General features: G+C 36.2%; 1 protein-coding gene and 1 long non-coding RNA gene across 16 annotated transcripts in view, besides 1 other annotated feature; one reads left to right on the top strand and one right to left on the bottom strand.

The window, feature by feature from the left end:
- Positions 1 to 16,324, top strand: part of MECOM (MDS1 and EVI1 complex locus) — a 580,206-nt gene that overhangs the window by 406,982 nt on the left and 156,900 nt on the right. The window lies entirely within an intron of this gene.
- Positions 9,085 to 14,670, bottom strand: LOC124909454 (uncharacterized). The gene is made up of 2 exons (XR_007096154.1): positions 13,980 to 14,670; positions 9,085 to 9,405 (listed from the first exon to the last, which is right to left on the bottom strand). It is a non-coding gene; the product is annotated as an uncharacterized LOC124909454 (long non-coding RNA).
- Positions 11,575 to 16,186: an enhancer, noted in NCBI's record as "VISTA enhancer hs1433". NCBI's record gives its function as "enhancer in: limb[9/12] | trigeminal V (ganglion, cranial)[8/12]" and the evidence as "EXISTENCE:transgenic organism evidence [ECO:0001131][PMID:17130149]".

Below are 16,324 nucleotides of genomic sequence, written 5' to 3'. Positions count from 1 at the left end.
CTGAACCTTTTTCTACTGATGACTGAGTGTATCTACTGGATCCAGCTTAAAACACGTTGATAGTAACCAACATCCAGCATCTCCCGAAGGAGATGTGTTACCTCTTGGACTAACTCCATCTTTTGCCCACTTGAAATCTGTGTTATTGAAGGCTCATTTTTATTTTACGTTCTCCTAGTAAAAGTCATGGCCATTTAGACCTTTGAAATGACTGTTAGAAATAATTGATCAAAGAATCAAATAATATCTTGGTGCTGGAAAGTGTATCCCACAGAATTATTTTTACTTCAGGATGACATATATAACCTTGAATTTTAAGTTCAGTAGAGCAGGCAATGTATTTATTTAGAGGGCAGGGCCATTAAGGCAGACTGTTTTTTTTTTTTTCTTGTTTGAATTGGAAAAAATGGTAATATATCCTTTACGTCACAGTAGCACCCTAGTGGTTATCATATTGCATTAGTTACATGAGTTTTTGGGGAACATTATACAGTATATACTGCCTCCAGTAAATACACCAGTCATGCATACAGTTACATAGCCAGCGCCAGGAAATTTAGGATGACATTCCCTGCAGGTTAGTAATTCTACCCATTATTTATATTGGTTTGATTTGAAACTAGAGGAAGCTAAGTATTTTTGAAGACTTTTCTGACAGAATTCTAGAAAAACCAGAGAATGAATATTTAAAATAGGTTAATTATCTTTCAAATTTTTTTTGAGAACACTTAAATTTAGTCATAATGTCAAATCATTGAGAAAGGCAGGAAAAGAGTAAAGTACAGGCATGTTTCATCTATAACTTGAAGCCATTCATAAATAAAAATCTATCTTGGGTGTATACTTAACAAAATGATCTTTAAAAATGGATTAAAAAATTAGTAATGAGCCTGTGACAGAGTTGCTAAAGCAGATGTGGAAATTGTGGAACATCGTCTTGGCAGTTGAAGTGGCCTTTCCAGCTGGATGTCTTCAGAAAGTGAGAATTTATGTTTAAGCCACAATACAGAAGTCAGTAGTATGTGAAGATGGTTGTCATAACAGTGCAAGATTTTGATGCAAACACTTGATGATTGTAAGGAACTTGACCAATAAAGTCTGTGCTGTCATAATGAATGAAGACCAGGTTATTTGAAACTTCTAAAATAGCATCTTACTTATAATGATGTCAAAGTATTTCATGCCTTTAACTTATTTACTTTGGAAGGAAACAGAAATATAAACAGGCTGATCACCGAGACTACCCCTGAGCCACACGTTTTCTTTTATCCAATAATCTACGTTTACCTATGTTCCTCGCTATGAGAGGGTCCCTGTGTCTAGTGCCTAGGAAGGCTAACACAAGCACAGAGAAAAAAATGAAGTCTCCAGGTTTTGTTTTGTATTGTTTTTTAACCAGTTTAGAGATGGCATATGACTAGGAAGGACTGCATAGGCTCCTGATTTATAAAATGGATACTACTCAGCTCACAAAATTGGTATATTAGTGAAATATGGTACTGTACCGGCTCGGTGTCATGGATACTTGGTGGATATCAACTCTCTTTTCTCTTCCTCCTATAAGCAGTATACTTCTGTCAATTACAAAAGTCTATGCAAGCAATGTGAAGAGATAGTAACTGAGTAACTTTGGGCAAATTATCTAAACCTGAAGGAATTGGATTATTGGGAATGTCAAACAGGTTTCAGTGTTTGTGCATCCTTTCCTTTGGTAGATCTCTGATCCTTTAGAATATTTTGGAAGTGGTGGCCATGCTCCATGGTCGGCTAGCAGCAGTTCAAGCTATGCATTAAGCAGAAGAAGAGCCTTCATGGATCCTGTTTTTGCTGTTGCTAGAACCAGATAAACTCCAACACCACTTCTATATCTATCATCCTGCCCTTCTGTTTGTACCATTGATTAGTTCTCTGTCCACTTCTAACTTTGATTATTGCCCTAAAATTCTAAGATTTTTGGAATGTTTTCCAGATTTTTTCTCATTTCTTCATGAAAATTGAAAGAAATATCTTTTTCCTTTTTATACCTTATTTTAGGGGTTATCTGAGAGTAATATTATCTCATTTGTCATGAACAGAACTTGTTGAAAACAATGTCAAATATTTAACATGAAAGTTTAGGAAATTATAATTCAACGTGCATTCCTGTTACAAGAAACATAAAATGTACAGAAACTGTGGTTTTTCCCCCTGAGAAAATGGTTTGTTAAGATAGTAAAAATCACTAGAATGTAAGCTTCAAGATGACATGAACTTTTGTCATAAAGAGTGCCTGTAACAAAGTAGGTGCTCACTAGCATTTGTTGAATGAATGAATGAGTGTCTGCTGCCTTAGGTAGAAGAGATTCTTGGACCATTTCTTGGCTTGAGAATCTCAGAGAACAGGGCTAGAGCAAAAGCTGAAAGTCAGTTCTCAGGTTTAGGGACCAACTCTGTTGATATCCATTCATGGGATTTCACTCATGAAAGGAATGTGGATGTGCTACTTGGATGTGCTAGACTGACTCCCTACGACATAGATTTCAACCTTTATTTTGCTTCCCAATGACATCTTCTGGTTGATTATAGATGTTAATGCCAAGATTTTCACATCCCGTCCAAACAATATGCTAAGTCTTATAACAGAATGTACCCTGGTGCCCATGGGAACTCAGAAGAGAGAATTTCAAGTCATTTTTTAAAAGGGCATCACATGATTGTTAGGAGAAATAACTAATACAAGTGGTTTTGACAAGAAATTCTTAAATATTTCATAGGAATAACAGTGTCATTATTCTTTGGATCATCATGATATGAGTCATCAATTATGCTATTGGATTCAATTCAATTTAATCTAATAAGAATGAAATGAGCACCCACTTCAAGCCTAGATGTGTTAAATGTAGTTGGGGTACAAAGAAGTATAAATATGATTAGGGTAGATCATTTCATTACTCTTTTGTTAGGGTTCCTTTTCTAAATGCATTTATGTTGACTTTATATGATGGCATGAAATTGTGTTAAGCCATTATAAAAATTATCATTGTTTTCCTTTTCTTTCTGGGGAAAAAAGTGTTCTGCAAATATATACATTCAAAAAATCATATGAAGTATATATAGATGTATCTCATAAGTATGTATTTATTCTGATACATGTGTCTTATTCAGAAGCATGTATCTTATACTTTTCATTCTGAAGCTTGCATCTTATTTTCAGAATAAATATATAATACATAAATACATGTGCTCCTTACTGATAAATATATAACTCTAAGGTCATGGTAATTAATATGTTTTCTATTGCTGTGTATTCAAAACAACTTTTAGGAAAAGAAGTCGAATAGCTCAAGAAAAAAAAAAAAAGAACTAAACAGCAGTGGCTTGTTTTACAAATGGGTTTGCTGAGAATTCCTTTAGTTACACGCTAGAGATATTTCTTGATCCCTTTGTTGGTCAGCATTAGTGAAGTTCATTACATTAGATTTAAATTATGTCAGTCACTGTCTAGGTGCAGACAGATTCAGAAAGGCATATTGTAAAAATATAGTGAGCATTGTTGCTATTTCCAACCAAATTCAATCTTTTGGTGTTGGATTAACCTATTGTATTCATGTTCACATTTATTTATGCTTGGCAGAATTCAACTTCCTGTTTTCCAGAGGAAGCTAAGAACTCCTAATTTTAAAAAATAGCTAAAAATCCAGAGCTTTAAGACTCACAAGGCTTTTGAATGTCAAATGGATCTTATAGAAAAATATTTGATGAGTTAAGTATTAAAGAATAAGAAACATATGGGTTAAATTTTACTGAAATGCACATGGGCTTAAGAATTAAGGAAGAAAGGACTTGGCAAAATATGGTTTTGGTTTTGCCAAATCCAAAGTTTGAGAATAGAGTAAGATATTGAACAAACCCAAACCATATCTGGCTTTAGCCATCTGCTAGCCTGTTGTCTACAAAAGCCTTTTGATGGGGCTTTGCCTTTCTAAAACCACTGATGACACCTGAATTCGACATGTGGTGTCCTTTAGTGCCTCTGTGGGCTGGCTAGCCTGACCGCATAAACTTGTAGTTCCATATTCTAACAGGTTTGGTGTGTCAGATTTCCCAGTAAAAGTGTAGACTTTTACTAATGAAACAATTAGCCTAAGACTTGATTGCATTTTTAATTCAATAGATGTCACATTTAAATATATAGATACAATATTTATATAAGTATAAATTATTTTTATAAATATTTGTTATATATAAAATAAAATATTTGAATGCTACTATAGTTAACTATTTTACTATATTATCATAGAACTTTATTAATATGAATATGTACTTGGTCATATCCCATAAATCTCCGTTTTCTAACCTACCAGAACACACTTTCTGTTCTTCTTTTTGGATGCTGAGGATTTTTATCTTTTATTATGCTTATCTAAATGCATATCTTCTCCCCCATCTCAAATTTAAAGCTCATTTTGTGAAGAATTTTTGTTTGATTTATACTCCTATTTGTCAAAGATATCTAGGCTAGTATATATAAATAAATAACTTTACATTAAAGTTGCTGCATGTATTGATATTTTACAAAACATTTTAATAGACAGAGTTTTAAAATGAACTCTTATATCATCTTGCCCAGAGCCATCTCTCCTAAATTTTTTGTACATTTATGATAGTGTAATTTTACATTTGATTCGATTGAAATGACCTTCTATCCACCTCTGATCAAAAACAGTTTATATAAATTTCCAACACCATAACCTCAATAAAATAAATGTACATCTAAAAACTATACAATGGGTATAGAATACATGTTTGTATTATCTGTATATTACATTGTAATATATGGTTTGGATTATCTTTTTTCCACCTATTTCTTTAAAAGCAATGCAGCAATAGATTCCTATTCTGAGTAGTCAGAACTGCCCTGAAACACATTCACACTTCCACAGTCGACGGGGCTTTTAATAAATGAACACCACTTCACTTTGCAAGCAGTAGTGTGATGTGCCTACATTTTAATTATACACATATTCCAAAGTTCCAAGTCTCTCTGTAGTGCGGTCCACATTTCATGCTGGAGACACTTGGCCAAGACTGAATTCATATGTCCTACAGGGTTACATATGATGTGGCTCCTCTCCCACTGGGTTACACAGGATATGAGCTGGGTCCTGGCGGCTTCTGAATCAAGAATAAGAGAAGCTCTTGTGGTGTGAATTTAAAGAGAGAAAAAGCCTGTCTCTGGCATTCAAGTCGCTGGAAGTTTGGCATGTCTAGCTGGGAGTAGACTTCGGCTCACAGAACTGAGAGATAACTAAACAAAGATTTGTTCAATTTGATAAACCCCCTAGCAAAGACCACCTTGCCAACTTTCTTTCTAAAGAAACTTTTCACAGCTGAACTATAAAACCTTGAAAATCAAGGATTTGTAATGGAAATGCTGACAGATCCAACTAACTCAAACTTGTACCAACCAAGCATTGCTATCATATTTTATAACTGTTTGAGAAGTTTATAGAAAGGAATGATACATTTGCTTCATGGGATCCATTTCCTTTGCTAAAAACTACCAAATGTCCCCAGAGTAGACTCCTTCACTCTTAGAACTTTCTTGATACTCTTTTCTTAAGAATAGAAATGTTAAAATTGCTAACTTCTCCTGAGGCTTGAAAGCAACTGTTGCCTCATCCTGTATTCTTGTTTTACACTTGATGAAGAAAATTCAGACACTGCCATCGGTGCTTCAGTGTTTATTAGTTATGCATTCTTGAAAACCTGTTCAACATTTTAGCAAATTTACCAAAATTATCGTAGAGATGAATCTTCTTTGTGAGTTTTGAACAAGTGGAAACATTTACTCTATTCTCAAAATGCTGGCCAGAAAGTGAAAGAAAACTTAAATGCAAAAAGTTACCATCATCTTAAGGGTGGTGTAATCTTTGTACAGATATGTAAATACAAATTTCCATTTATACCTTTTTTTGAATTCATACTGCTTTTTTGTTAATCCTTAAATTTCAGTTAGTTGGCCATAGTTCATGCATACTCAAATTGAATTTCATCAAAAATCATGGTTAACAACCACAGGAATAATTAGGAAATAATTACTCACAGACATAATAAACTACAGTGTTACTTATTCCCCTACAATAACGGAGAGTTGACATTTGAATTTCTGAGAAGGTTTAAATATATTTTACATGCTAGAAAAATCTGATGGGTATAATTTTCTCTAATATTAACGAGTGAGACATGATTGCTCGAGAAACAAGAGAAAAGCTGGTTGGTCAAACATATGCCTTTTGTTTCTACATTTTGCATAAAGGTCTTCACTTGGTATGCGGGTTCCTCAGCAGAAAGGAGAAGTTACAGTTAACAAATTAATGAAAACCAAGTGATGCCTTTGAAGAATTCTTAAGTGAACCTTAACCAGTGCCTTGGGCTACATGTTCAATGCGAACAAAAAAATTAAGGTGAACTGGCCACTGCTACTAAGAGTCAATTGACAGAATGCATGGGTCATTAATTTTGTGTCCTTTGTTTTGTCAGTGTGTTTTCGTGAGGCCTGGTAAAGAAAGTAAAACCACTGATGCTGAAAATTGTCTGCTCTGTAGCTCATTTCCCCTCCCAGCATGCACTGACCCAAGGGAGTGGGCTTCAGGTCGCCAGCCCCCATTTCCCTTTCAAACACTCCCGCCTCCTGCAAGTTTGAGAACGGATCCATTGGGTTGGTGGAGTGGTTAATTCTTTGCAAGTTTGTGCTTAATCATATGCAGAATGTAAGTACCAATAAAAATGAGATGTCTGCTCACAACGTTTCCTTGTATTTAAAAAAGATTCTGAAACAGCTTCTGCAACCTCGGTTCCTTTCAATTATAGCAGAGGAGAGTGTGAAATTTAAATTGGTTGGTTCATCTTAATTCTCTGTTGTTTCATTACCAGTAACCCCTGAGGGCCACCTTTTGGATTTTTGTACCATGAATGAGTGATGTAACTATAAAATGCCCATAATACTGGGGTGGCATGCTAGAACTCTATTTGGCTTTAAACTGTGTTCTAAGCCATTGTGCCCAAAATGTTATTGCTCATCAACAATTCCATAATTCCATATCAAGGCAATCTAGACTGTATCACATTTGATTACCACGAAATTTTATTTAAAAACAGATTTTTTAAGGATCAATGTTTTAAAAAGCTGGCTACCCTATCAGGCTAACTTCTCGACTCTCAGCAAGACTTTTGCAGTCTTCAAAGTGGAAAGGATGCAACTGGCCTGAATTAGAGTAACAATACCTCTGCCTTGGACCGGGAGCCAAGGAAGATTTGCAGATCTTAGGCAAACACTATTTGTAGGTTTAGTTGATAGCAGTCCAGAAATCATAGAATTGTGTGTTGTTCTGTCTTTTTCTTTGAATATTTATCAGCAGCACTAGGTTGTGGCACTAGATGTCAAGTCTAGGGATGATTTGGATGCAATCAGAAATGGTTCAGTTATGGTAGCTTCCCTTCCATTTATTCCTTCATTTGACTTGGTAGCCATTTAGGTGTTTATTGGTTCATTCATTCATTCGCCCACTCGTTCAACAATCACGCAAAGCACATGATAGGTGCTAGGTTAGACAAAGATAAATTAGATAATTCCTAGCCTAAGAAATCGGTTTTGTGGGCCATCAGACATGTAAATAAATACAATATACTGTAGAGTATGCTGGAAGGTAGGGCATTTGGGTGAGATTGAGAGCCTGGAACCCTGCCTATAAATGGGATGGAGAGATGAACGTACTTGTAATAGTTTACTAGGGCTGTCCCAACAGAGTACCACAGACTGAGTGACTTAAGCAACAGAAATACATTTCCTTACAATTCCGGGGCCCAGAAGTCTAAGATCAAGGCATTGGCAGGCTTGGTTTCTTCTGAGGCCTCTCTCCTTGGCTTGCAGATCTCTACCTACTTACTATGCCCTACTTACATGATCTTTCCTCTGAGCATGCATGCCTCTGGTGTCTCTTTGTGTTTCCAACATTTCTCTTCTTAGAAGTACGCTAATCAGATTAGATTATGGCCCACGATAACAGCTCATTTTAACTAATACTTGTAGGTCCTATCTCCAAATATGGTCATATTCTCAGGCATTGGGTGTTAGGGCTTTAATATATGAGGACATAATCTTGGGTACCATAACAGTACCCAAAGAATAGTACTCAAAGAAGAGATGAATAGAGAGATGTCAAATTGACAGACAACAAAAGGGTATTCCTAGAACAGTGCCTAGAAATGCATCCCTGAACATGTTATACCATGTATAGAGACTTAGACTAAGAATTTGTGCAATACAAACTAAGAGGTAGATTTAGCAGTTTTCCATTTTATTTGATGATTAAGCATCTACTATCTGCAAATCACTGAGTTGAGCTTTGCTTTAGGAGGACACAAGGAAGTAGCGAAAACAAATCATTTAGGGGCCACCAATCTGCTGAATTTCTATATCTTCATCACAGGTTTTCAATTCTAGCTACACATTATAATTATCCTCATAGATTCAGATTAATTGGTTTGGAGTGATTTTCCCAAGTAATTGTAATGCAATTCTAATAATATTGTCAAGTTTAGAATTACTTGAAACTTCTAAATACATACATAATAAAAATAGTTAACATATTGTTTTTACCCTGTGCCAGGTGCTATCCTAAATACTTAAACACATGATTTTATTTAATCTTCACAACCTATCTATGACATAAGTATTATGATAATTCTCATTTTAGAGATGAAGAAATGGAGCAGCTATGTAGGTTCACTGGGCAAAAGTCAGCTAGTTGGTATCATATTGACCCAAATTTCAGGTTTAACTGAATTCTATCACATTTTTAACAAAGTAATTTAGAGAAATTTTTGTGCAGACAGTCTTAATGTCCAAAGATTCTGTTTAAATATATGTCAATAAAATTGTATTTTTTAGAAAATTTCTCAGTGCCAAAAGTATGACAGCATATCCATCACATTTTAGGGATTGTGGGATAAGCATGTAGTGAGTGTTTAATAAATAGTTATTGTCTAAATTGCTATAAATTTTAGAAATTGTTTCAAGAAACTTGAAATGCAATTACATCATTGCATTAAAAGGCTTTATTAATCCTTGAATAAAAGTATTAGAGGCCTGGTACAGTGGCTCACGCCTGTAATCCCAGCACTTTGGGAGGCCGAGGCGGGTAGATCACCTGAGGTCGGGAGTTCAAGACCAGCCTGACCCACATGGAGAAACCCTGTCTCTACTAAAAATACAAAATTAGCCAGGGTGGTGGCGCATGCCAGTAATCCCAGCTGCTCAGGAGGCTGAAGCAGGAGAATCACTTGAACGCGGGAGGTGGAGGTTGTGGTGAGCTGATATCGTGCCATTACACTCCAGCCTGGGCAACAAGAGTGAAACTCCATCTCAAAAAAAAAGAAAAAAAAAAGTATTAGGTGGATGGTTAGCTTTTTTGTTTTTCCTTTACAAGGATCTCTTTTTATTCTATATTTTTCATAGGTTTATTCATGTTTTTAAATAATACTGAATGATAGTAATTATTATATACAGTGAGTAGTTTTTCCATGATAGGGTTATACAAAAAGTTTCAGAGGTTTTTTGCAACACAGAAGGTTTAATAATAAAGATACGGTTGTAATTGTTATTTACCAATATGTTGTGATGGTATAATATTATATATTTTACTAATATGTAAAAATGGTCTATACCTTAAAAAAATCTCTTTAAATAATAGGCTATTGCCAGAGAATTGGGTGTATGTTTCATAATATTATTCATAGGCCCTGGAGCTGGCACACAAATAAAGACCCAATCCATTGTCTTTCATAGAATGATATTGCTTAAAGCAAAGAACAGCAGACATAAGGAACAAATACATGAGAGGAGAGGTAAATACATAAAAACTGTATGTGGGCCAGGCGCAGTGGCTCACACCTGTAATCCAGCACTTTGGGAGGCCAAGGCGGGCGGATCATGAGGTCAGGAGTTCCAGACCAGCCTGGACAACAGAGTAAAACCCTGTCTCTACTAAAAATACAAAAATTAGCTGGGCATGGTGGCACGCGCCTGTAGTGCCAGCTACTCGGAGGCAGGAGAATAGCTTGAACCTGGGAGGCAGAGGTTGCAGTGAGCTGAGATCGTGCCACCGCACTCCAGCCTGGGTGACATAGTGAGACTCCGTCTCAAAAAAAAAAAAAAAAAAAGTGTATGTGTACTGTTTCAGTTGATAGATGAGATAATCTAATTAACTTTTATCAAGATATGATAAGATTTAACTTATTTCAAAGCCTGATAGTCTTGTGTACTGCATCTTAGCAAAGTGATCTCATGATAGTTGTGGTTTGGGATGTACCTAGTGACACATCAGGCAGGTGTCATCTGCTAGATAAGGGCTTGGGAAGGATGTGCAAATATAGTCTTCCTGCTAGAGATTGCCAGCCACCTTACTGACCCAATGTTGTATTTATGCAGCTTACAGTGTGTTTTTTAAGAGAATAAAATAACTTGTTCAATTGCCTTCATAATCTATCAAACACTGTTTTGTTTATCTGATAATGCTTTTAGTATTATCATAATATTATTATAGTAGTTCTAATTTTTGTTTTCTAATTAGGCTCAAATATTCCCCTATGATATGGATTACCTTTGGAAAACATCATATTTTAATTGCATGGTTGCTTAATATCTGTAAATCAGAATCAGGGTCAATATCTAAGAATGTCCCATTAACTCTAAAGAGAAATGCTCACTTTTATTTGGAAAAAAAAGGCTTGGCAGACAAGCTGGGAACTACCAGATGGAGGAGGCTGTGCCACATAGATTATAAGTTTTTCCCTCTCTTCTTATTGATGTCTTAAGTTGAACATGTTCCATCTGTCCACTCTCAGTAATGAATAGCGACTTTTTTATTGTAAAGGTAACACATTCCATATAGGGTAAATTAATTCAAGCATATAATGAAATGTGCAAGACTCAATGCTCTGTACTGCGTAGAATTTGAGGATTATGTAGGGAAGTGTGGAAATCCAATACTATTTCTATAACAGAGCATATTTTTACTTGGAGAGGGCATTAGAAACATTCTCTCCTAAGACCTCTCAGTTTTGTTCTCCACTAGGGTCTAAAAGTCTGAGTGATAGGTTGTAGAAATTGTTTGAATCTGATGAATTTTTTAAAAAAATTATTAGTTCTATAAAAATGATTATTTAAAACTAATTAATTTTCTACCACCCACAGTAAAGTACTTTGCTAGCACACTAGTAAACAATTGAAAAGCACTAAGCCACCTTTTTAATGTGTTGACTATGTCTAAATCCAGCTTGTCAAATATAATATGAAGATAATGTTTTTAAATTTCTTTATTCAAAGCTTTGGCTTTTTTAAAGCTAATGTCTCTGGTTTGAATTTTTCTTCTATCTTGTGGCAAGGATGGTGGCTTTTCAACATTTAACCCTAGCGTGGCTGTTCTGTTGTTTTTCGCATATTTCATTATTGATACTTCTATTAATAATATTATATTTCCCCTTTATAATGATAACAACAAATACTATTTATGTTTTGCATATTTCAAATTGTTTGGGTAGGGCTAAATCTTCATTCTGTCTCTCCATAAATGGGCACCCAGAACACTTCCAAAGGAAAACCAATAAAGGAGTCATATGATTCTTTTATTGTTAAAACAGGATTAAAATTTAAGCAGCTGCTTGGCCTGGTTACTATATCTATTTTTAAAGCCTTCGTTTTTTTGCTGTTGTTTGTTTTTGTTTTTTTGTGTGTGATGGAGTGAGGTTGTTGTATGTATCAACTGTTTGTGTCAATAAGCTTTGAAATGCTAACTCCTTAAATAGTTTAAGACACTTGGCTTTAATTTTTGGTGTGGCAATCTTCTCTTTCTGTGACTAGATTTTACTTGTTGATCTCTCTGAAATCTGGAGTTGGAAGTTACTATTTCTTTGCTTACAGATAATTGAAGCCGACCAAACTTGTTAAAGTCAAAACCAACAACACCATGCTTTAGTACACGCCTCTGGGTTTAGTCACAGACTCTGGTAGGTTCTGCAAATGGCACAATTTATGCGGTGGCATGTCAGAAACTTAATGCTGTAATTTTCCTCTTCCTAATGGAGAATTAAGAATCTAAAGGGTCTGGGCTGTTCACATGGACCGAATCCCCACAGCTTGGGTGCAGAGGTCTCTCAAAAATTTAGTAAGTGAGAAGGAGAACAAAGATTCTTAGTTGGAGGGGAAAAAAATTAGATCGCCTGTGGCTGAGAAGCTGAGGGGGACAGGTAGGCACAGTGGGGTGCAGGATAATGAGGCACATGGCAAATGTGATGCACAGATGTTAAGCCAACTGTAGCTCCGGCTCCCAAACTTGTGCATGCCACAGCACCATGCCTCGGGGCTATGTCTACACCAGAACATTTGCAGCAGTAAACGACGGCAACATTAGGTTCAAATTAATCTATTACTCCAGAGCTGTGAAATGTTGGTTGCTTGTTTCAGAATTACATTGCCTGTGGGTGAAATGTTTTAGGTAGATTTTAATGCAAGCTCATGGCTTTCTGAGGAGATTAAGAGGAGAAAGGGAAATTAGAACAGTTAGGAGAGTTGTGGAGGGGCACATTTCTGGTTAAAGTATATGAAAAAGTATTACATATTTCACGGGCAGGTCTGGTCTCCTGTTGGCCACCTGCTGGGACTGAAATATCCCACATCATAATGAAGGCAGGTTTGCAGAAGCCTTGTAAATACTTGAGCCCTGCAATTGAAGAAGGCAGACAAAGGGGGCTTTGGGGTCTCCTGGAGACTTTTGAGGGTTAGGCCTGTCAGGCGAGTGCTCCAAATGAATTTGGTAATTTATTATTCTGCACTTGTTTAGTGGAACATGTAAAATTTTGCATTTAGGTTTTTACCCTCATGAGTTTAAGTAAACTCCGGAGTAACAGGTAGCCATGTGACGTTTCAGAGTATGTTTCGAAGTAATCCTGTTCTCCCTCTGCCCATTCTTTCACTGATATTGGCAGGTTCATTTTCACAAACCTGTCTGGGACTCAAACGCTCTATTTTTTCCAAAGTGGAAAAACCAAACTTTGAATTAACCTGGATTTTTTTGGTCAATTAAATAGTTTATTCAATCAGACGGGGGAAAAAACCTGTTTGGAAGTATCTATAAAGAATTTTTTTTAACAATATTGTCGTTTTTCTTATAAAAACACTTAATTGAAATGCCTAAGAGCTGCCCAGCACAAAAGTCAATAAAAACCCTAGAATAGAGTTTATAGGGGTTGTCTATGTACATAATTAAATCCTTCAGGCACTTTAAAACTCTGCAAAATAAATGGTTATGCAAGAATAGCCTGCTGAGAGAAGAAATGCTTGTATCAGCTTTAACCAGCTGCCCTGTGTTCCATGTTTCTGGGTTGGAATGAGAAAGCTATTAGAACACTGGAAGACTGCAAGCCACATACAAATCATCTTTGTTACTGACACTTGGGGGAGTACTTTATAGTGGCTGTCAAGACCAATACAAAACATGGTTTGTGCCTGAAAAAGTCAAGTGCCATTATTCAAAAAGAAGATGTTAGTAATCCAAATAACTGAACAACATCCAGGATCTTCATTGAGTTTAGCTGCTATAGACGCAGATTTATTATTGAGTCTGACTTAAGTAAATTAGCATGTAGGTTTGCATTCTAGATTTGATGGAATAACAAAGGTTAATTACTTGCAATGATCTATGCTGGAATAGGAGTAAAAGGGGAGAGCTATATTTAGATTTAATTTCACCATTCTTAAGGGAATACTATGTGAGGGGACGGGATTATTATAGGGGGCAAAGGAAGGAGTGCTAAGGAAAAGAAAAAAAAAAAAAAGCAAGCAGTCTAATGAATGTAACCAATAGAAAAATTGTAGGTTTGTTTCTCTCCCTGGCCCTCAAAGTTATGATAAATGATAGCACAAGGAAAAGATAACCTACCATGAGAGTAGGATCACCAAGGCCAAATACTAAAACTCCCAGCTGACTGGCCCATACACTGCAGCCTCTGTTCGTGTTTATTTTTTCTGCTCACTCTTGGTTTCGTCAATCAGTATGATAGACGATAAGTCCTGACTAGAGCAGCCCGCGTCCTGCTCTCTCACGGTGGGTAGCATGTTGTGGTTGGCGCCGAGCAGTCGGAGGATCGCCCGCATCAGGAGCACCAAGGGGATGAGGTTCGGAGCAGTCTTCCAGCAGCCGGCTCCTTGGAGAATAGCAGGCAGGAGCGTTATCAGCGGAGAGTGGAGTTGCCAAGAAACTGACCACACATTAGTAGCTTTGTTTGGGTAGAGTCTAAGGGGGCTGTAGCTCATAGACTTGAGACACTTTCTGTTAAATCATCCCTGGATTTAAGTGTTAAAAGAAAGCTTGTTCAAAAAGAAACCAGGACTGATTGCCGCAGGCAGTCCTGTGACAGGACTCTCAGGATTGAGAGTCAGGAATTTGTGGAGTTGCTGTGCTGAGATGCAAATGGACATCAATTTAAAAAGAAGAAAAAGAAGAAGGCTCCTCTCGTGGTCTACCATTTACTTCTAAATTAACTATCTCCTAATGTGTAAAACGGCATTAAAAGTGCCTTTAAAAGAAATCTATAAACACAATGGGGAGCTTTAGTTAGCTGGTGACATATGAAACACTGCTCAGTTAGCCGACAGATCATCAGATAGATGGAATTTCCTGAATGCTATTCACAGATCACTAATGTTGTTTATCTACTCTCAGCACTAATACTTTTTACATTTCATTCTAGGAGAAGATTTTTACTTTATTTCATGTATCAAAACTTCTAGAAAAATTTTAATATCACCAATTTTTTGGAAACCTTATTTTGTAGAAGCTTAAAGACTATAAAGAAAATTAAAAATGTCCTGACTTGATTCGCTGAAGTAGCCAAAGTGAAATTCTTTTGATATCTTGTGATGCAACATTGGTCAAACATTTCCTGTTCAACATTTCTTTCCTGGGTATTAGTGGTTCCTTTCTCAAGAACAAATGCTTTGGAAATCTGGTGCTCTGTATAATTACAAGAAATTTCAAATAAGTGATCAGTACACTTTCCCCAAAAGTAATGCTTCTTGATAGAGTAAGGTAAACTTGACAGTTCTTTTTGTGTAGATAATTTTTCTCCATTTTAGAAATTACACTAATGTGTGAAGGAATGTTTCCCCCTAGCTTAAGGTACATTCCATAAACAAAATGAATAGTTTCGGATTCTCTTTATACCTGGTGTTATTGTAACTGCTGATGTATGTTAAGGTGAAATTTAACACTGGAATATTAGTTTTATTTCAGTTAATTATGTTTCTAAGAGCTCATGAACCCTAAGATTTAGGGTTGGTCTGTTTCTAGTTATCCTGCCAAGTTTTTTACTTGATGGAGGGGGTCTGTTTCATTCTGCTTGGCCTCTCCACCTTTGTAACCCCTGGTTTCCTCTTTTCCTGAATCACAAATTTACGTTCTCCCCTTCTGTGAGAAGATTGAACGCTTATTCAACTCCAAAATGACTATGGTCACAAAATATCAACAGTGATTTTTAATAGATCTTTGCCTATCAAAATATTGTTGCTTAATAATAGGGTAAAGGTAGTTGTGGCTGCTGATAGGAAGGAATCTGACTATTAATAAAAAGCAGACAAGGGTCTTGAAACAGTACTTCCACTGTTGCAATGTAGACACTTTATATTACTTTATTTAGTGCAACACCTGCAGCTACTCACATTGCTGGTGGCTGAAATAATCCAGGTCCACACGGAGAGGGCATTACAATTTCATTGTGCTGTTTGTGCTTACTGTTTAAGCCTTTCTCACAGGAGAAAGCATTAGCTAAGTGTACAGTAGATAATAAAAAGGGGGATTTGGGCTCATCTGTTCCCCTTAAATCTGTCTAATAAAATCTCTCCTCATAATTAGTATCTGACTCCTTTTCTACCACTGGCTGGCATCTAGAGGCAGGTAGAGGCACAAAATGGCATTTGTTTTTTAGTTGTCCCATTTCATGACTTTATGGATCATCCCCTCTTTGAGCCTTCATGACCTAAGTTCTGAGACTTAGGAAACTGTATACTTCCTAAGATTCTCTTCTGCAGAAGTTATAATAGATTTCAGATGGAAGATGTTTGGGATCTCAACAGGACAAAGAGGACACATCATTTTAAGGCAATAATAACAAGCCATTCTTCATCCTTAATTGACAACTTAATTTAGATTTTAGACGAGTCCCTTTTAGTGATGTCCTATTTTAATTTCAACCCCAAATGCTGATAATCATGAATTCAAAAACACAG

This window comes from Homo sapiens, chromosome 3 (assembly GCF_000001405.40).
Source record: "Homo sapiens chromosome 3, GRCh38.p14 Primary Assembly".
NCBI lineage: Eukaryota > Metazoa > Chordata > Mammalia > Primates > Hominidae > Homo > Homo sapiens.
The sequence above is the reverse complement of the archived record's forward strand: the minus strand, read 5'-3'. Positions and strand labels throughout refer to the sequence as shown.